Source organism: Homo sapiens, chromosome 6 (genome assembly GCF_000001405.40).
Source record: "Homo sapiens chromosome 6, GRCh38.p14 Primary Assembly".
Taxonomy (NCBI): domain Eukaryota; kingdom Metazoa; phylum Chordata; class Mammalia; order Primates; family Hominidae; genus Homo; species Homo sapiens.
In genome coordinates this window covers 15,812,277-15,834,781 of record NC_000006.12, presented here as the reverse complement: position 1 = coordinate 15,834,781, position 22,505 = coordinate 15,812,277, and the positions used below count along the sequence as shown (strand labels likewise).

General features: G+C 43.4%; 1 long non-coding RNA gene across 1 annotated transcript; it reads left to right on the top strand.

Annotated features, from left to right (window-relative positions):
• Positions 1–318: 318 nt before the first annotated feature.
• LOC105374948 (uncharacterized) lies at positions 319–4,489 on the top strand. The gene is made up of 3 exons (XR_926530.3): positions 319–386; positions 809–973; positions 3,596–4,489. It is a non-coding gene; the product is annotated as an uncharacterized LOC105374948 (long non-coding RNA).
• The last annotated feature ends 18,016 nt before the right edge of the window (positions 4,490–22,505 follow it).

Sequence of the window (22,505 nt, the reverse complement as noted above, 5' to 3'; positions counted from 1 at the left end):
CTCCCAGGCCCAGTCAATTTTTGTATTTTTTGTAGAGATGGGGTTTCGCCATGTTTCCCAGGCTGATTTTGAACTCCTGAGCTCAAGAAATCCACCTGCCTCGGCCTCCTAAACTGCTAGGAGTGAGCCACCAAACTTGGCCAAAATTGTCTTAGTTTTCTGACAGACATTTTTGATGTAACTGAGTAAGGAAAAAGGACAAGTTCCATAATGTGATGATGCTTTACTTTTTAGTTTAAAATGATTTTAGGATGATAGTATATCAAAATGCCTAATCAGTCACCATTCCCATTTCTTCCTTGCCATCAGAACCTTGAAGTTCTTCAAGAATCCACATTCCTCTATAAGACCTCTGGAAAGGCTAGGCCCCTCTCATCCCCATACAGGTAGATTTTAATTAGTTTAAACCAGTCATGGAAATTATATTCCCTTGCTAGTGATGGACTTAGGAAATGACATATGACCCTCTGCTGGCCAGTTAGCAGGGGGTGATTCCTGGGAATGACTTCTTTGCTTTTATGCAAGGATGAGACAGTCACTATTTTCTGCCTCCGGACATTGGCTGATGTGAGGATGGGATGCCTGGAACTGCTGTAGCCATTTTGAAACCTGGAGGGAGCTAAGTGACAACTGAGGTTGGCAGAGCAGAAAGGTGGAAAGAACATAGGTCCTAAATGTCATGGAGCCACTTAGCTGACCATCACCAGCATGCCTCTTCTTCCAGACCTCCTGATTTCTTTGATAACAAACCTCTTATTATTTAAGCTTAATGAGTCTCAATTTTTGATTCGTTATTTGTCCCTTGCAGCAGATTGTATCCTACTTGATACAAGGAGTCATGAGTTGGAGACCTTCAATTTATTGGACTATAGTATCTCAAGTGTCAGTGTTGATCCTATTATGAAGACGGTTGTGGACACTGACAGAGTGCATAAGAAAGCCAACAGGGCAATAAAATGAGAGACAGTATGTGGTGAGTTTATCCCTTTGGGAAATTGTCACTTGTAAAGACAGCATGGAAGTCACCCACCTGGCGAACCTAAGACCTTGAAAAGACCAGGCCTGATTTCCTGCTTTAAATCATGTGGATCTCTGACATCCACCCAAAGTATCAGATCTGTAGTCCCTGGGAGAGGAATACACAAATGTGATCATCAGTTGCATGGTGAATGAGAAGAAAGCAGGAAATTGTGTTCACATACAGTCAGATGGTTCGGAGGTTCAGGTGTCCACACTGGAGTTTACTGTCAGCTTAGAAAAGGCATTTCCTTTCTTGGGGCTTTAGTTTCCTCAATTGTGAATTGAGGAGGCTCCACTAAGTGATCCTTGGGATTCATTTTAGCTTCAAAGTCAAACAGTTGGTTCTACCAATTTGGAAAGGGATAAAGTAGATGATCATGCAGCATTGACCTGCATGCATTACCCTTATTCTTGCTATAGTTATCAATAATACTAAAAAAAGATGAGGTGTGGTAGCAATGACTAGGAGCTCTGAATCATACAAACCTGAGTCTGAATACCACTTACTAGAGGTGTGATGTTGGGTAACCTCTCTAAAGCTTGATTTCCTCTCCTGTCATATGAAGATAATATAATAACGACCCCCTTTAAGGGGCTGTCATGAGGATTAAATGAACTAACACATGTAAAAAGCTTAACCCACAGCAGGCACTCAATACATTCCTGGCTATTGTTGTTAATAGTAGCAACAATAACCAGCATTTATATGTCACATTACAGTTCATGAAGCCAGGATTAGTACTGGGATTTTCTAGCTTTCAGTTTTATGTTCTTTCTAACACAGCACATAGTCTTCCAAGATAAAGTTAAGTAACAGACCCCTAAAAGAGAGAGAAAATGAGAACAAAATATACACAAAGAGAGCTGTGTTGTAGCAAACATGCATAATACTAATAATACTATAATAGATAAACTATAATTACACCATACCTTATGCCATAAAGCTGCCTATATTTGCCACTCTGCTATCTTATTTGATTCCAACCCTGTAGAACAAGTAAGGAGGTAACCGCTTTCTTTTTTTTTTTTTTTTTTTTTTTTTTTTTTTTTTTTTTTTGAGACGGAGTCTCGCTCTGTTGCCCAGGCTGGAATGCAGTGGCACAATCTCAGCTCATGGCAACCTCCACCTCCCGGGTTCAAACAATACTCCTGCTTCGGCCTTCCAAGTAGCTGGGATTACAGGCATGCACCACCACGCCTGGCTAATTTTTGTATTTTTAGTAGAAACGGGGTTTCACATGTTGGTCAGGCTGGTCTCGAACTCCTGACCTCGTGATCTGCCCGTCTCGGCTTCCCAAAGTGCTGGGATTACAGGCATGAGCCACAGTGCCCGGCTACAACTTTCTATTCTTCAGTGAGATTGGCTCTGCTGAAACCAGCATAGCAATATTTTCTTTTTCCTTTTTTTTTTTTTTTTTTTTTAAGATGGAGACTTGCCTATCGCCCAGGCTGGAGTACAGTGGCGCGATCTCAGCTCACTGCAAGCTCCGCCTCCCGGGTTCACGCCATTCTCCTGCCTCAGCCTCCAGAGTCAGCCTCCCGAGTAGCTGGGACTACAGGTGCCCACCACCACGCCCGGCTAATTTTTTGTATTTTTAGTAGAGACGGGGTTTCACCATGTTAGCCAGGATAGTCTCGATCTCCTGACCTCGTAATCCGCCTGCTTCGGCCTCCCAAAGTGCTAGGATTACAGGCGTGAGCCACCGTGCCCGGCCAATATTTTCTTCCTCTCTGTGAAATGGTGATAATAAGCCTTGAGGGAACAAGGGCACATTCTGCAGTTGGGACGGCCCTGGGGCAGAGTCAGCTCACTTACACCAAGAAGAGGAGCAAAGCAGAAAATCTGTACTGAAAACACAGTGCTCTCATGAATTCAAAGTCAGCTTTCAAATGTGCACCATTCTCAGGGGAGGAAAAAAATGCAAAAGAAAAATCTAAAAATAGAAAAGAACATCATTAAAAGTTCAGCAGTATATTCAGTGTTAAAGGATAACAAAACAAGAAAGGAGGGAACAAACAGAAGGTGAAGACTATAGAGCTAGGAGCAGAACAGCTGTAGTCTCTAAGGACTCTCCAGAACAGACTACTGCTTAAAGAATTTCCAATTTCTTTAGAAAAAAAATGTTCTGTCTGGTGAATAGACAATCACAGTCAAATTGTCTCAATTGAGTTTGGGTTTTTGTTTGCTTATTTGTATAGAACAATGACCAAATATATCATATTAATATATTCGGGCTACAATTCAGATAAAGACAATGGTGAGAAAGGTAGTGAAAGGTGCCTTTCACTTCACTTGCAGTTGTTATGAGAAGGTCATATTTACCTTTAAGAAGGATAAGAATGAGAAGCCTTAAGAGACAAAGACATGAAAAAGGAACGCTGTGAGAGCCAAAGCTTGGTAGATTCTCCCCTTTCTCTCTCTCAAAACTCTTAAATGCACTATATATAAAAGGGCATACACAAAGGAGTTTTATGGACTAGGGTATAGTGTAAAGATGGTATATATGATTATAGTCTTATGCATGCTTGCCACAACACAGCTCTCGTTTTGTATATTTTCTTCTTTCTCTTTTAGGATGCTGATACAAAACATTATCTTGGAAGACTGTGCTATGTTAGAAAGATTGAAGATTAAGATTGAAATTAGGGTTGCTAAGAGAAACAAAGTTGAAGTTCTCAAATCAGAAACCCTTACAACTCAAAGGAATCTGAAAACCAAGACAACAAATTATGCTCTCAAAAGTCATAAATATAAAAGAAAAAAATCACTAGACATCCCTACTTGGAATTAAATGGGGATATCTAATGACCAGAAATCTCAAAAATCTCCCTTGAGTAACATCTGAAAGTTCCAGAGTCCCAGAGGGATACAAATCATGTCCAAAGAAGAAGGGCTGAGGGATTCAGAGTTATATGGCATTAATAACCGCAAGTAAGCACCTTTGGAGTGTGTGTACAAAATAAACAAGATAAGCGATGTTTAACTGGTAGGAAATTTGAATATCTAGTATTAGAGAAAAAAGACATCACCTTTACCAAGAAGAGAAAATTAAGTATAGTTTAGGTGAACAGAAGAACCGATTCTCTTAAAGTAAAATCGACATACATTTTCAACTTAAAAAATCTTTTCATGCTAAGTTTGATGTAAGTGATCACTGGATGACTGGCCAGAGGGTAAATACATTAAGACTGAAAAAAAGAAAAATAAGCAAAAGTTAATAGAAAGTCCTGGACTTCTAAAGGGGCCATGTTCCAAATTTGTTCAGAAGTCAGTTGTTCTACACCACAAACTTGATTGAGCATAGGGAGTGTTGTAATGGTAGTTAGGTTCTACTTACACACAGCACCAAGAGTCTGTCTGCACAATACACTGGCTGAGATCTAAAAAGATCAAAATCAGAAATGGGGATGGGATGGAGATTTAGGCCAGAATGAAAGCAAATACTTGTGCTGATCCAGGATACAAGAGTAGGAGTGTTGTCAGAATTAGTGACTAAGTTTAAGGGTCCCAACATGAAATAAGAGCTGCCAAGCAGAGGTAATGTGAGGCTATGAATGACGAGTTCAGAGGATTTTCTGAATTCTGGAAAAATAAGGTCTTAATCCCAAGGATCATGAATATTCCTCTGAGAAATGCTACTGTCAGATTTCAAGATACTGTTGAGCTTCTAACAAAGTACTCCTAACCACTACTGGAGAATGTGTCTAAATGAGAAAAATGCATCCCAAGCTCCAGCTGGCAGTACCAAATCAGAAGCTGCAAACTATCACAACTGGCACATGGGATGGAACATGGAAGGACTTTGGAAATATTTGGGTCAAATTTCCTCATATTAAACAAGACAAAACAGGTGAGGATGCATAGAGGTATGTGATCTACCCCAGGTCACACAGCTAGGGACTGGAATGCAGAGCTAGAAGAGAGGCTGGTGAAGCCAGTTGGTTGGGAGGAGGCCCTCTCCAGCCCCCCACAGGTAGAATCACTGGCCTGTGTCCTGCACCTTGACAGATAGTTATCATAGCACTTACCAACTAGAGCCAAGCAAACCTCTCCCCAACCTTCCTCAACCCCCTTCAACATAAAGACCATATTTAATTTTTCCCTTTAACTCCAGTTCTTAACATAGAAGGCTTAATATTAAACCTCATAGTTGGGATCTGTTAAATCAAGTTTAGCCTAAAGCTGCTTCCTTGCATATTTTAAGTTTGGCCTAAAGGTTTTTCTGTACATCACAAACTATAGCAAGTGGAGGTGTAAACAGACCATAGCCTATGCTTGTGCCAATCTTCAAGTTTTGGCCAATCAAATGTAGCCAGCTGTTTGAACCATGTTCAAACAAGGCAAATGCCAACTTGTAACCAATCCTGCCGTTTCTGTACCTCACTTCTGTTTTCTGTACATCACTTTCCTTTTCCTGTCCATAAATCTTTTTCTACTACGTGGCTGCGCTGGAGTCTCTGAGCCTTCTCTGGCCTGGAAGGCTGCTCAATTAGTGAGTCGTTCATTGCTCAATGAAACTTCTTTAAATTTAATTCAGCTGAAGTTTTTCTTTTATCAGATCTGTTAAGTGTTTATGAAATGAACTAATGAACACCAAAAATGTAGATGGGCAGATATATACACATGGAAGGAAGGACTCCAGGGTGTCCAGGAGTCTAGCTCACAGAAGGTCTGAGCTGTGGTGGTCAGACTACTTATGGTCCCCGAGTACATGCTGACAAAATACAGTTCACCTGGTATTCACCAGGTTGGTGAAGGTTGTGGAAGCTTATAGATATACAGAGGAGTTATGGAGGGAACTAGAGGTATTCAGCCTAAAAAACAGAAGTCTCAGGGAGTGGCTTTCAAAGTGCATTGAAAATTTCACAGGGATGCCCAAGGGGCTGCCAAGATACAGGGAGCAGAGAGGGAGTGGGTGGGACAACAGGTCCCTAACCCAGGTAGAGAGGGAGCAGCTCTGCTTTTCTCTGCTTTACATTTGGACTGTAGCATAAGATTCACATCAAAGAGTGGTGAGCAGTGGGGAGAGGGGGCTTCTCTTGCTTATAAAGTTTGAAAAATCACTGCCCAGAATACTGCGATAAGAGCCTTAAATAATTGGAAGGCTGCTGTTTGAAAGATTTAGACTTGCTGTTCATGGCCCTAGTGGTCAGAACTAATAACCCAAGGCAGGTCTCAGGTCACACAAGGAGAAGAACAACCAGGGATCAGCCCTGATTGTAAGGACCTGCCTGATTCCCGCCTGCCCTCTGTAGTCCAGGTGGCACAGCTGGGGCCACTCAGGCCTATGGGCCTGGTTAGTATGTCTCCAAGTTCTGCCCAACTCCAGATTCTGAGAAGGGACTGAGAAGCCCCAAAGTCAGGGGTGCAGAATCCTGACTCCATTCTGACCCGAGGTGAGGTTGTCCCATTCCTCAGAAACCAAGCCCCTAAACTGCATCCCATTGTCAGCATTGTCCCCACGCTTCCACGCTTTACAAACTTCTCCATATTGCAACCAGTTCTCAGAAGACAGAGGTTTCATTTTGGCACTTTAATCCTCACTGTCAAGTCCCTTTCGCCATAGCCCACCAGCTGTCTTGGTCTTCTCCATAATGGCTGTGACATGAAGCCCCCAGGATGGCACTCCCGTACCTTCTGACACCCTGCAGCCCCTAGTGCCAGGTCTCCTTGGCCTCCCTTTCCCTGCCCCAGGCCTGGACCCCTGCCCAGGAACTGCTGCCTGGCTCTTCTCTTCTGATACTTCACACGCTTGCCAAGACTTCCTCTGGGTGCCTATGACTGGATGTCTAATGAGTGGTCAGCCTCACTGAGAGACTGACTATTATTGTATGTCTTTCTCCTCCTCTCAGAATGTCAGCTCCCAGGGGAGAGCTGTTTTGTTCACAGGTATAGCCCAAGCGCCTAAAACAGTGCCTGGTACAGAGTAGGTACTTAAGAAAGGTTGTTGGTTTTGTTCAGTGCCTTGGTGCCAGTCCTTCCTGATTTGGCCTTTTATGCCATGGACCAAACTCTACAGCTAACATTACCTCATTACATATCTCCTTTACACATCCCCAGCTCGGCGGGGTGTGGTGGCCCACGCCTGTCATCTCAGCACTTTGGGCAGTTGAAGGGGGTGGATCACCTGAGGTCAGGAGTTCAAGACCAGCCTGGCCAACATGGTGAAACCCTGTCTCTACTAAAAATACGAAAATTAGCTGGGCATGGGTGTGTGCCTGTAATCCCAGCTACTCAGGAGGCTGAGGCAGGAGAATTGCTTGAACCCGGGAGGCGGAGGTTGCAATGAGCTGAGATGGTGCCATTGCACTCCAGCCTGGGTGACAAAGTAAGACTCTGTCTCAGAAAAAAAAATTAATAATAATAATAATTAAAATAATAAGTAACAAATCCCTAGCTCTCTGGGGACAGAAAATGGATATCCATTCTTGCTTGGAGTATCAGCAAAGTAGCAGGGGTGGAGGAAAGGGACTACACTTGAGACTTTCCGAGCCTCTTTACTATTTATCAGGGACAGATTCCATGTGGAGATGTTTTAATTCAGAAAGAAAAGCAACTCCCTAGGTCCATTATTCATGCCCTAGATTGACTTCAATAGCCATCAACCTCCCATCCGCCACACCCCAGTAATGAGATGGCTCTTGGGCAGCCACATTTCTCAACCCATCACTCAGTCCTGGCCTCTGCTCACTGGACTCAGAGAGGAATGTGATCTAAGGACAGCCCACTGAGAGTCTGGCCAGCAACCCATGCTGTGACTTAGCATGGTAGATTGAGCGCGGCCAGTCACGTTCATCCTCAAGAACAGAACTAAGACAGAAAGAACAGAGTAGATAACAGTGACCTGAGGCTGAAGGAAAGTTCTGGGGTAGAGTAGAGACCATGAGGTACCATTTTCAGGGAAAAATTATGAGGGAGCAGGAACTGAAAAGAAACAGAGACCAGGAATAAATTATCGAACACAGAGAAGACGGAAAAAATGAGCCAACTGGAAGAGAGAAACAGACACATCAAGAGGAGCTTGGCGGGGCCAAGAGCCGCCAGATCTGCAGTGGTTGAAAGAGCTTCCCCGTGTCCTGCTCTTCCTAGCAGGTGGGTTTCTAAGCACATGTCGCCTTCAGGTAAACACCTCATTGTTTGAGGTTCATTGTTAATTCTTGCCACCAAAGCAGCCTAATTAAACAGATTCTAATTAGGGGGAAGCATTAGTTTCCTGTTGTGGAAGTTATAAATTCTCATAAACTTTATGACCTAAAACAACACAAATTTATGATCTTACAGTGCCGGAGGTCAGAATTCTGAAATGGGTCTCACTGGGCTATTTCAAGATGACAGAGGTGCCACCTTCCTTTTGGAAGCTCTAGGAAATAATTTGGGTGGTTTTGGGTTTTGGGGGGCTTTTTGTTTGTCTTTTTTAATTTCTAGGGGGTGCTGTGTTTCTTGGTTCAAAGACCCCAGACCCCATTTGCATTCTCCACCTCTGCCTCCATCATTCCTTCTCCTTCTCCAACTCTCCTGCCTCCCTCTCTCCCTTATAAGGAATCTCATGATTACTTTGAGCCCACCCAGCTAATCCAGCACAATCTCCTCATCTCCAGGTCCTTAACCTACATCACATTTGCAAAGTCCCTTTTGCCACATAAGGTGATGTATTCACAGGTTCTGGGGATTAGCACATGGGCACCTGAGGGAGCCAATATTCTGACTACCACAGGGAACATGGGATAATCCCCCAACAACAGCAAAGTACTGAGCCTTCACAGACGTCCACCAAACGATATATCAGCTAGAACTGCTGCTCACATTTTAAATGCTTGAAAACGGGAAGGAATCATGATGACAGACAGGCCTCTAATAAGCCTCTGATCAACAGGAGAGCCTTCTCCATATTTTCAATGCTGGTTTCCAGAAGTTACGTGAACACAGGGGTTCCTAGGAGTATGGGCTTCATTTGAAATGCAAGGTGAGAAGCTCACCCAATTAGAACAAAGTTTCACTAGCATTGCAATGAATAAGCAAGCAGTCTAGGGAGAGTGAGGCTGACCAGAACTGTGGCGGAGATTGGTATAGACTCACCTTTGATTGCGGTCCTTCCTCATTGCAGAGATTTATTTAGCTGTGTTTTACTCAGAAGATCCTGTTGACAGCTGGGGATGGATGCACACGACTGTGTGATTACAGAGCTCTAAGAAATGACATGATGGGAAGAGAGGAGTGTAAACCATAAGGAAGTGATGCCTGGTGACAGCGTTGACAGTACAGAGCTGTAGCATCATGCCTGTGCGCGCCAAGGGAAGAAACCAGAAGGAAGGTTACCTCGTTTCTTCTAGCTGTTTCCTTTCAAGCCCTTATTCAGGATTTTATCTGTTTTGGAGGGAAACTCAGGTGCTGTCTTTAGTGTTTAGCTGGAAAGAAGCCTTAGAGGTCTGGGGTTTCGTGAAAACCAGGAGTTGATTTAAGAAGCAGAAATGCTTTTAAAAAATCCTTTGTTGGATCAGTTTTTTAAAAAAACTACATAGATCCTGTTACAGACTAAATGTCTGTGTGCTCTCAAAATTCATATATTGAAACCATACCCCACAATGGGATGGTATAAGGAGGTGGGTCTTTGGGAGGTAATTAGGATGAGATGAGGCCATAAGGGTAGAGCCCTCATGAATGGGATTAGTGTTCTTATATGAGTCAAGTGAGAGCTTTCTTCCCGTCTCTGATCTCTGCCACACGAGGATATGAGAAGGCAGCAGATGGCAACACAGAAGAGAGTTCTCACCAGAACTTGAGCATGTTGGTACCCCGATCTCAGACTTTCAGCCTCCAGAAGTGTGAGAAATAAGTTTCTGTCATTTATAATCCACCCAGTATATAGCACTTTGTTATCGCAGCCCAAACTAAGAAATTTGTTTAGCTGTGTTTCACCAAACACATCGCATAGCATCCATGCAGAGCATCTTCAGAAGTCAGGAATTTGTTATTCAATGGCATCCCTGGGTTCTAGATACCCCAAACAGATTATGCTGCAAGGATTCCAGACAGCTTTGTAAAGAAAATTAAATCAGCGTGATTCAAACATGTTTATTCTTTCTCATTTGATACTGAGTAATGTTTTACACATGGCCAAAGGGCTCTAAGGGTTTCCTGCAACACTTTGAATCTCAAAAGAATCCACATTTGGCTAAATGCAGATCACTTAAAGATCCAGAATTTTTTTTTTTCTATGTTTTGAGACAGAGTGATGGAGTCTTGCTCTGTTGCCCAGGCTGGAGTACAGTGGCACAATTTTGGCTCACTGCAACCTCCACCTCCTGGGTTCAAGCAATTATCCTGCCTCAGCCTCCAAAGTAGCCGGCATTACAGGTGCCCACCACCATGCCTGGCAAATTTTTGTATTTTTTAGTAGAGATGGGGTTTTGCTATGTTGGCCAGGCTGGTCTTGAACTCCTGACCTCAGGTGATCCACCAGCCTCAGCCTCCCAAAGTGCTGGGATTACAGCCATGAGCCACCCTGCCCAGCCAAGTTCCAGAATATTTACACTGAATTTTGAGGTCAGAGTTCATTGAACTTTCTATTTGGGCATTTTTAAGTTACTGGGACCTAAATGCTATTATGGAACCAATCAAACCTAGAGAAATAACTTACATGTTAAAGTTCATTTACTGAACCACCAATAATCTACCAAATGCAAAGTCTGTATGTGGAAGGCAGGCTATGCACAATTTTGTTCCGTTTTCAGTTTCTTTATGAGCTCTCAGCTGCCCTGGTGTTTCTCAGGTGAGTCTTCTGTTTTCCTATTGTGATTAGTTCTGATCATGGAAGAACAAGAAAGCATGTTGTATAATAAATGACATCAGGAAGAAAAGGGGAAAAAAGTTAAAAGAAAATACTTCTTACCATTAAAATGACCTAAGGCAATTCGGAGTATAAAGGACAGCTTCTATGACCTGTCAGGGTCAAGAGCTGAGCTAAATTTATCCCAGCGCATGGCTTCCATGGACTTGTGAGAAACGAAGTCAAAGTGGGGCAAGCAGCTCTCTGCTCCAAGATGGATTTACTCTGACAAGGGAACCATACTAAAGAGGAGTGAATACATATAGTACAACCCTAAATAGAAGCATAGTGGAATGATGAGTCTGTTATGGGCAACCAGATAGAAATATCCATGCTAAGGAGCAGAGAGGCTTAGAAAGCCCGGAAGAAGAGATACTTGCACTCTTTGATCTGATGCCAAATGTCGTATCCTCAGCAAAAAGCCAGAGGCAGAACCCTTATGGGCCCAAAGGGAAAATAATGAAGTGGCCTCTAGAAAACCAAAGCAGTACTATTTTGAGGCCAGAAGTATCCTAAATACCATGGTAACATTAAATAAAGATTATAGAGAAGGAAAAGGAAATTATTTTCCTACGGGTTATGGTAGACAGAAAAATACCTGCACAAAGATTTCTGCATTCTCATGCACAGAATCTATGATTGTGTTAGGTTAGGTTACATGGCAAAGGAGAAGTAAAGATGCAGATGAAATTAAGATTGCTAATCAGATGACCTTGAGATGGGGAGGCTGTCCTTATTATCAGGGTGGGCCCGAGGTAATCACAAAGGTCTTTAAAAGTGCAAGAGGGAGCCAAGCATGCTGGCATGTAACTGCAGTCTCAGCTACTCAGGAGGCTGAGGTGGGAGGATTACTTGAGCCCAGGAGTTCAAGGCTGCAGTGGGCCATGATTGTGCCACTGCATTCCAGCCTGGGCAACACAGCAAGACCCCATCTCTTAAAAAATAAGTGCAAGAGGGAAGCAGAAGAGAAGGTCAGAGTGATGTGATATAATAAGTAACATGGTTGGCTTTGAAGACAGAGGGAGTGGACAGCCTCTAGCAGCTGGAAATGGAAAGGAAACAGGTTCTCTCCTTGAGTCTCCAGAAGGAACACAGCCCAGTGGATAACTTGATGTTAGCCCACTGAGGGCCATATTAAATGCATTGCTACCCTTCCAAATTGTAAGATGATAAATTTGTGCTGTTTGATGCCACGAAGGTTACATAATTTGTTTTAGTAGCAATGGGAAACTGACACACCCAGCAAGTGAGGAGAGGAGTGTTATGGATATCTGAATTGGTCTTGATGAGCACTGGATGTATGTATAATGCTCCCCTCAGAAAAATGCAGAGTCTTTGAGGAATTCTAAGCAGTTTTTAGAAGAAAATGTTTTCAGACTCATTGATTTTAACTCCTCTGCTATACAGAGGGAGTACTCTAATGCAGCTGGGGAATAGACCTTCTGACCTCCAGTGAGGCACAAACATCTCTGCTAAGTATTGTGTATTAGCAATCAAGAGACTTCCCTGACACACAAGGCACTGCTCAGGGAAAGATCTGAGATGTGCTACTACTTTGGTTTTTGTTTGTTTTACTTTAGAGACAAGCTCTTGCTCTGTCGCCCAGGCTGGAGTGCCGTGGTACAATCATGGCTCACTGCAGCATCGACCTCCTGGGCTCAGGTGATTCTCTTGCCTCAGCCTTCCAAGTAGCTGGGACCAGAGGCACAAGCTACTGTGTCTGGCTCCGTATTTTGTTTTAAAACTAGAATTTCATATGTGAAAGTCATAGTGTAGCAGATACTATTGGTAGGCAGTCATAGGTCATTCCCTGCTTTTCCTTGCTAAGAGAGGGGTATCTACACTTTTCCGTGAGACTCAGGGTGACTGATCTAAGCCAGTCACCCCAGTCATGGGTAGCCTTTGCCTGTGACTGGTGTTGCCATGGGCATGAGATACAGTTCTGACCAATGAGCTGTGAAGGGAAGTCGGCTTGAGGGATTCTGGGATAAGTTTCCCTCAAACTTGAAGAAACTCATGGAAGAGAATGGCCTCTTTCTGCCTCTGAATGCTGCTGTGAGGAGCAGATGATTTCTGGAGTTATGAGCCACCATCGCCAGAGCATGAAGGCATGAGGCTGAAAGCAAGACGATATGTCAGGGATGGCAGAGTGGAAAGACATCAGGCACCCCGGTGATGCCATAAGGCCCCTGAATTAACCAATTCCAGAGCTTGCCTACTTGGGTCTTTTTATTTATGACATTACAACTCCCTTGAATTTTAGTTGCAACTAAAAGTATCCCACCTGATGAACAGATGGTTAATTAACATCCTTAAAACATAAAAGTTAATGAGAAAAAGATGCCTATTTCAAGATTTTTTTAAATTAAGCAAAAGAACAGATAATTCTCAAACGAAGAAAAACAGTAAACATTTGCGAAAGCATTCAAATTTACTCATAACTAAGCAAGTGCCAATAAAAATAACCAGACCCTCTTATTGGCCTCTAAATGGACAAAATCCTTTTTTAAAAATGATGCTATCTAATATCATTGGTGGCTTAGAGAAATGTACACTTTCTATTGGAAAGGTGAATAGACACAACCTTTCTGAAGGACAATTTAGTCATGTGTATTATAGAGAAGATTTCTGCTGGCTGGGTCAGAGATTTGAACATTCCAGGCAGCACCCTTCTCCTCTGATAGCTATTTAAATTCACTATTTGCTGGGGAACTAGAAGCTGTCTTGGAACTATCCAGAACTACGTATCTGTGTGAAGTTCAGATTGTCTAGTAAATTTAGATGGGGTCATCTCAAATTAAGTTCCAGGAGGAAATATGGTATCCTTGAAGGAAATCTTCCTTGGGGAAGAAGAGGCAGGTAGACTCATTAGGCTACGGGGTCTCCAGATGGAGACACAGTGGTGCCAAGCCCACTGGCAAGTACACGAGCACTTGGATCTGCCTAGCTCCAGCCAGCTGGGATGTTCTAGGGAGGGAAAAAAAGGTGCACTTGAAACCAGAGATGCATTAGTATAAAGGCCATCACACCTCACAGACCAAGAATCTGAGTCATGGGAACCTCTGAAGTGCAGAATGGAGAGGAGAGAGCTGGCACCAGCGGCCAGGGCAGCGTGGAGCAGCTCAGCGGCAGCTCAGGTGCACTTCAGCAGGAAGGGTACCTGGGTGTCCTGAGGGACCACCAACCAATGTGGGGCACCTCTGGGAGCTCCCTGGCATGCTAGAGAGGAAAAGGGAACTAGAAAGGGGATTTAAGTAGCCTTCCAGGTTGCCCAGCGGCCAAGCCCTGTTTCATTTCTTCTCTCTGATTCTCTCTCTCTCTCTCTCTCTCTCACTCTCTCCCTCTTTCTCTTTTACTCTTTCTCTTAGTCTTTCTCCTCAGGTCAAAAGAGGGGCACTCAGCCGGGCACAGTGGCTCATGCCTGTAATCCCAGTACTTTAGGGGGCCAAGGAGGGTGGATCACTTGAAGCAAGGATTTGGAGACCGGCCTGGCCAACATGACGAAACCCTATCTCTACAAAAAATACAAAACAAAAGAAAAAAATAGCCAGATGTGGTGGCACATGCCTGTCATCTCAGCTACTTGGGAGGCTGAGGCATGAGAATCGCTTGAACCCAGGAGATGGAGCCTGCAGTGAGCCAAGATTGCACCACTGCACTCCAGCCTGGGCAACAGAGCAAGACCCTGTCTCAAAAAATAAAAATTAAAAAAGAGGGGCACTCAAGCTGGTAAAAGCTGTGGCATCCTAATTAGGCAAAAGGAGTAGAGCTGGTGGGACCAAGAGGAAGCAGATAAGCTACAAGCCTGCCTTTCTTCATGGTCCAGGACACAGAGCCCTACTGCACAAATAACTTACAATGTTCTCACACCAAGCTATCACCAGACACCTTCAAGTTAGCTCCCTGCAACCCTGGCATTATCAGTACTGCGCAAAGCCCTCTTCAGCATACAGCATAAACACCATCCCATAAAATCTCCAGCAAGCGGCTGGGCACAGTGGCTCACGCCTGTAATCCCAACACTTTGGGCGGCCGAGGTGGGCGGATCATGAGGTCAGGAGATGGAGACCATCCTGGCTAATACGGTGAAACCCCATCTCTACTAAAAATATAAAAAATTAGCCGGGTGTGGTGGCAGGTGCCTGTAGTCCCAGCTACTCAGGAGGCTGAGGCAGGAGAATGGCGTGAACCTGGGAGGCGGAGTTTGCAGTGAGATCATGCCACTGCACTCCAGCCTGGGCGACAGCAAGACTCCATCTCAAAAAAAAAAAAAAAGAAAAAAAAATCTCCAGCAAGCCTTTGTTTCTTTGCAGTCTGCTTCTCTCATGCAGGCTGTCCACTGCCCCCTTTCAAACATATTTTCCTACTTTCTCTAATAACTGTAACTTTCTTTACCTATACCTGTCTTGGTAAATTCTTTTACCCCCACACCATCAGCCCCGTTACCCATTGCACACTGCCTCCCCACCCCTCCCACCGCCTGCCTGCAACAAAAGCCACATGTTCGGCCGAGACTTTATTGTGTCCACATGCTGCAAAGATGTGAGTGACATTCACCACATCAGAAGACCGAAATCTCTTCATAGTATTTGACTCAGTAATTCTGCTTCTAGAAACTTAGCCTAAGAAAATAATCAAGATTCACTCAAAGTCTTTGAACAGAATATTCATCATAGTACTTTCATAATAGCAAAATACTGAACAACCACAATGTTCAAGAATGGGGGAAGGACTAAGCAATTTATGGTATCCTCATTAAAAATTATGTTTCTGAAAAAGTGCTTAACAATGTGGAAATGTTCACAATTAACTTAAGGAAAAACTAATACAAGAACAAACTCAAAGCATGTTCCAATCTTAGTTTTGTTTTGTTTTGTTAAATATAGAAGAAAGATCGGAAGTTTATGCACCCTGATTTTTCGTACTAATTAATTCTAGATGCAAGATTTTACTTTTTATTATGTTGGTGGGGGGGGGGTTGTTTTTTATTTTTTATGTTTAGCAATTTTTTATCACGAATGTGACTTTTTTTAAGCAATGACAAGTTTTTATAAAGTTATAAGAACTCTATGCTAATGAATTTGAAAACTATTCGAAATCTGATATTTCAAAGCCTATAATTTTAAGAGAAAGAAGAAGAATAGAGCAGAGAGTGGTGGAGGTCATGTCCAGAGGGAGAACAGATTTGCCACCATGTTCTCCTCTGTTAATCAATCTGCAAGACAATACCTAAGATGATTGCATTCTGAAGCAGGCTATTTTAAAGCTATATCTCTTTGTAAGAACTTGGTACATTTCTCTATGATTTAAAAGAGATGATTAGTTCCATGCTAAATGGCTTCATTTGTTGCAAAATTTTCCTCTGAATGGGGATATTCCGTTTTAATGTAAAATTGAAACATTATTTCTCTTCTTTCATTTGCCTGCATTCATGTAAATAGGGGATTTAAGTATATATTTTTTCACTTAATGGATTTAAAACAAAATCTTTAAAAAAAATTTTCAAACTAAATTAAAATGTATTTACCCTCCATTTTTTACATTTAGTCCTGTCACAGAAGAACAAGTAAAACATTTAGGTACAATTTCAGGGCGGTGTAGAGGAACGCAGCTGCCTGAACTCTGCAGTGAGCCTTCGGACCCATCCAAAACCCCGGATCAACTGGGGAGTGGGCCTGGCAACCTCTGTGGGGTGGCAGGCCAGAGGGCGGGGGCTGAGCGCTGCAAGAGTGCCCTGTTCCTCCCCTCCCTTCCTGAGACTGCCTTCCACTGAGCTAAGCCTATGTTTCTCCAGCAGAGAATAATTAAAGCACGCCAACCTTGGAGCTTGCAAACATCCTTCTGGAGTAAGATGTTCCAATTCAAAAGGCTTCTCCATTCCCTTCTCTTTCCTGGACATCAGGACCCAGTATGGGTTCCTGATGGCATTAAGGAGCCATGCCCTCTTGGAACCAGAAGCCTGTTGAAAAACATGAGGAATTTGGGGGCAAACCAACTGTTTCTCTGAGACCTTGCACTGAATTCTCACTGTTCTATCTCTTGTCTCAGGCCACATATATTGCCTCCCCATTTCCTCTTTCCCTACTATCTTACTAACATCCTCCTCCTCCTGCTTTCTTCTGGCCTTCCATGGTGCCCCATGGCCAAGCCCTGTTTCATGTTTCCTCTCTCACAATCACATTCTCTCTCTCCCCCCATCTCCTTTCACACAGGGACACACAGCACACACGTACACATGTACACCAGTGTTTTTGAAAGAATTCTTAGATTTCATGCTATCCAATAAAGATGATGTCTTTCAAACTACTTGATGATCTCAGTGGTTGCCTTCCAGTTCTGCTTCTCTTTAAGCTTAGAGTTCCCGTTTTTCAAATATTAGTGGAATGTCCTCAGGGTAATAGTTATGCCGCTGATCAAGAACACACGGGTACACACAGGGATTCCCAGAATCTCTTCAATACCTCCGAGCAGCACCCCCACCCAGGTGTAAGGGCTGGGACCTCTGCTGTAGGCCAGGATGATGTCATGTCATCCTGTTTCAACTCTGTACAAAGCCAAGCAGAGCGCCAAAGACTCCAGATGCCCAAGGGCTATAGGCTATTATGTGGTGGCGATTTGATCAACTTCAGAGAGTGCTCAAGGCTAATCTCATGATTCCATTACAAGCTCTGTTCCTCCAGGCCCCAGGAGCTGATGTTTATCTGTATTGCTCTCATCATTCTTTTGGTTCAGTAGCAATTCCCTTACAGGAACTCCATAAATTGGGAAAGAGGATTGCATGACCAGAGCCCCAGGTGGTTGTCACCGTGTGACCTCTGTGACTTATCAGACTCCCTCCTCTCATGTACCTGAACCCCCTCCCACAGTCCAGCTCCCTCCTGGCCTCAAACTCTGCTTTGAGCCCTACTTTTCCAGCTGTGCTTCTGACTGCATTCTTCATGCCAGCCCCCTCTCCTTAATGGCTGCATCAGGCTCCCAAAACCCCAATCTGTGGGCTTCCTGGTTGTGCTGCAAATGGGTTCAGTGCCCAGAACGTCAGCTTGGCTGCCACCTGACTTCAAGTGTCATCTATGGCCTCAGGTACTACCCCCAGGCCAAACGCAGTGAATTAGAACTCAGGGACTGTGAGGGCCTCTGCAATCAGACATCTCCCCTCAGGTAAGAAAATCAAGAGGCTGGGTTAGTTTGTACAACCCCTCCCTCCCTCCACCCCTCACCTTTCCTTTACCCATCCCCACTCCCCATCAGTCTCCCCCATTTCCAGCTCACTTGATGGGATGGGCTGGAAAGCAGCAGCAGAAGAGAGCAACTCTGGAATCAGAAACATCTGGATTCCAATTCCAGCATTTGCTACTCACAAGCAATACAATGTCAGACAGGTGATAAGCCCCTCTCCACCTTACTGGTCTCATCGAGGAAATGGAAATAACAGCCTCTGTGTCACAAGGTTATCAGGAGGACTGAAGGTAATGCATATAAATATGATGTCTGGCACAGAGTAGAACATCAAAAACCAGTCACCATTATGTGTGTGTGTGTGTGTGTGTGTGTGTGTGTGTGTTTTGTGTGTATTTTGTTTTGTTTTGTTTTGAGACAGAGTCTTGCTCTGTCACCCAGGCTGGAGTGCAGTGGTGCGATCAAGGCTCACTGCAACCTCCACTTCCCAGATTCAAGCAATTCTCCTGCCTCAGCCTCCTGAGTACCTGGGATTACAGGTGCCTGCCACCAGGCTTGGCTAATTTTTGTATTTTAGTAGAGACGGGGTTTCACCATGTTGGCCAGGCTGGTCTCGAATTCCTGACCTCATGTGATCCGGCCGTCCCAGCCTCCCAAAGTGCTGGGATTACAGGCATGAGCCACCGTGCCCGGTCACCACTATTATTCATTCTCAGCATGTATTCTCCTGTCTTTTCTAGAAGTTCTGGAGACTCTAGTCACATGCCCACTTGCCAGTCAGATGCAAGAAACTGGTAACAACCACAGCACATTCCTGAATGTTATTGTAAGACCTTTAAATTTTGGGTCAGTTTCCCAGACAAACTCAGGCTTTAGGCCTGCCTGCAACCTATTTCTGCAATTTCTCAATTTGGGCTTTGGCCTATCCTGTAATCCCCCTGATGCCTGCCTTTAACAACATGCACTCACATAAAAAAATTAAAAGATACTCTGTGCTCATGGGCTGGAGGAATTCATATTGTTAAAATGACAATACTATCCAAAGCACTTTACAGATTCAATGCAATCCTTATCAGAATACCAATGACATTCTCCACAGAAATAGAAAAAAAATTCTCAAATGTATATGGAACCACAAAAAAACTCAAATAGCTAAAGTAATCCTAAGCAAAAAGAGCAAAGCTGGAGGTATCACACTTACCTGACTTCAAAATTTACTACAAAGACATAGTAACCAAAACAGTATGGTACTGGCATAAAAACAGACACATAGACCGATGGAACAGAATAGAGACCTCTGATATAAATCCATGAATTTACAACCAACTCATCTTTGACAAAGATGCAAAAACATACAATGGGGTGAAGACAGCCTTTTCAAGAAACAGTGCTAGAAAAACTAGAGAGCTATGTACACAAGAATGAAAGTAGACCCTGAATCTCTCACCATACACAAAAAAATCAGATCAAAATGAATTAAAGACTTGAATCTAAGACCTGACATCATGAAACTGCTAGAAGAAAACATTGGGGAAATGCTCCAGGACATTGGTCTTGGCAATTTTTTTTTTGTATACGACTTCGAAAGCACAGGCAACCAAAGCAAAAATATAGAACTGGGTTTATATCAAGCTAAAAAGTTTCTTCTGCAAATGAACAATCAAGACATTGAAGGGACAACACATAGAAAGGAAGAAAATATTGGAAAACCATCCATTTGACAAGTGATTAATAACCAGAATAGATAAGGAGCTCAAACAACTTAATAGCAACCACAACAACAAAAAATCTAATTAAAAAATGGGCAAAAGATGTGAATATTTCTCAACAGTGACATACAGATGGCCTACAGCTCTATGAAAAAAAAGTTCAACATCACTAATCATGGAGAAATGCAAATCAAAACCAATTTGCAATATCCTCTCATCCCAGTTAAAAGGACTTGTATGAAAAAGACAAGCAACAGCAGATGCTGGCAAGAATGTGGAGAAAGGGGAACTCTCATACACTGCTAATGGGAATGTAAATTAGCACAGCCACTATGGAGAACAGTATGGAGATTCCTCAAAAAACTAAAATTAGAACTACCATATGATCCAGCAACTCCACTACTGAGATAGTTGTCCAAAAGAAAAGAATCAATATATCAAAGAGATATCTGCCTACCATGTTTATTGTAGTACTATTCACAATTGTCAAATATGGAATCAGGCTGGGTGTGGTGGCTCATGCCTGTAATCCCAGCACTTTGGGAGGCTGAGGCGGGCGGATCACTTGAGGTAAGTTCAAAACCATCCTGGCCAACGTGGTGAAACCCCATCTCTACTAAAAATACAAAAATTAGCTGGGCGTGGTGGTGGATGCCTGTAATCCCAGCTACTCATGAGGCTGAGGCAGGAGAACCCTTTAAGCCTGGGAGGCGGAGGTTGTAGTCAGTGGAGATTACACCACTGCTCTCCAGCCTGGGCGACAGAGGGAAACTCGGTCTCAAAGAAACAAACAAACAAAAAGGCAGGGCAGGGTGGTTCATGCCTGTATCCCAGTACTTTGGGAGGCTGAGGCAGGTGGATCACGAAGTCAGGAGTTAAAGACCAGCCTGGCCAAGATGGTGAAAACCCATCTCTACTAAAAATACAAAAATTAGCCAGGTATAGTGGTCAAGGTGCTTGTAATCCCAGCTACTTGGGAGGCTAAGGCAGAGAATTGCTTGAGCCCGGGAGACAGAGGTTGCAGTCAGCTGAGATCACGCCACTGCACTCCAGCCTAGGTGATAGAGCGAGATTCTGTCTCAAAAAAAAAAAAAAAAAAAAAAAAAAAGTGTGTAGCACCTCCCTCCTCTCTCTCTTCCTCCTGCTCTAGCCACGGAAGACATGCTTGCTTCCCCTTTGCCTTCCACCGTGATTGTCAGGTTCCTGTGACCTCCCCAGCCATGCTTCTTGTACAGCCTGTGGAACTGTGAGCCAATTAAACCTCTTTTATTTATAACTTACCCAGTCTCAGGTATTTCTTTATAGCAGTGCAAGAACAGAGCAATACAGATGGTAAATTATATATGCATATTTTGTCTCAATTAAAAAAATAAATTAAAAAAAGCATACACTTACCCCGTGGCATGCTGAAGCTGGTTTGTGCTGGCTAACAAGAACTGGTTGTTAATTTTTAAGAATTTTGCTCGTCAGTTGAAATCAGCCATGACAGAAGTATTCCTACCATAGAAATCGGCAACCCCTCCACAAATAGGTTGGTGCAAAAGTAACTGCAGTTTTTGCCATTAAAAAGTAATGTGAAAAACCACACTTACTTTTGCATCAACCTAATTTATTAGCTCACCACGGATTTATTAGCTAATTTATTAGCTCATCACCATACCCACCACTTCCTTTTTTTTTTTTGAGACGGAGTCTCGCTCTGTCACCCAGGCTGGAGTACAGTGGCGCGATCTCGACTCACTGCAAGCTCCGCCTCCTGAGTTCACGCCATTCTCCTGCCTCAGCCTCCCAAGTAGCTGGGACTACAGGCGCCTGCCACCACGCCCGTCTAAATTTTTTTGTGTTTTTAGTAGAGATGGGGTTTCACCCACCACTTCCTTGTGAACTTGATTTTTCTGGGTCCCACTCCCTGTACCATGTTCCGTCCACCTGCCCATCATCCATGACTAAGACCTCATCCTGGTGAGTCCTCCCCCAGGACTCTGGTCTCCAAGTGATTGTTCCCTGGTGTAGCATGGACAGCACCCCAGATCTAACACCATCCAAGAAAATAACACAAACCCTGGACATCCCGAGGGAACTCAATGCTTTGTTTACTATCCAATTCCCACATATCGGAGACAGCTCCTGTCAAAATAAAGTCAATAGACCATTTCACACATTAATTATCTCAGACTGCAAACCTAAGGGGAAGACTTGAGAGGTTCTGTTATCAAATAAACAACCCCTGTCAATGTTCCATATAGAAGATTCTGAAAAGATGTGAGCCTAATTGACAATCTCCCAGTTATATTTTAATTGAGATGATGCCGTGTGGCACAATGAATTCCATCCACCACTTTCCATTGGCTTCTGTGTGACCTTTCCCCCCATTTCTTGACAGATTCGTCTTGCTGAACATCTTGTGGAAAATGTAAAAAACTTCGCTTTTTTCTCCATCATGCTGAAGTTTGAATCTCATGAATTTATTTTCCTTAAAATAACAGTTGCTGCATATTCTGATCACTTCTTGCTTCAATTATATTTGTACTGAAACTTCCTCTTCTAAATAGCTTTGTGCATTTTCTCTCTCCTTCCTGTCCTTCTCCGTAGTCTTAGCTCATTCGTGGAAGATTATCGCTTTGATCTTTATGTTGACCAGAGTCAGATAGATAGACACCAAAGGAATCAGGGACCCCTTCCATGGCTATAAATTCAGATTATGTTTTTTTAAAAACCATCTTTAATGCTTTTAAACAAAGGCAGGTAGTTTAAGAAGGCCTCTGTTAAGACA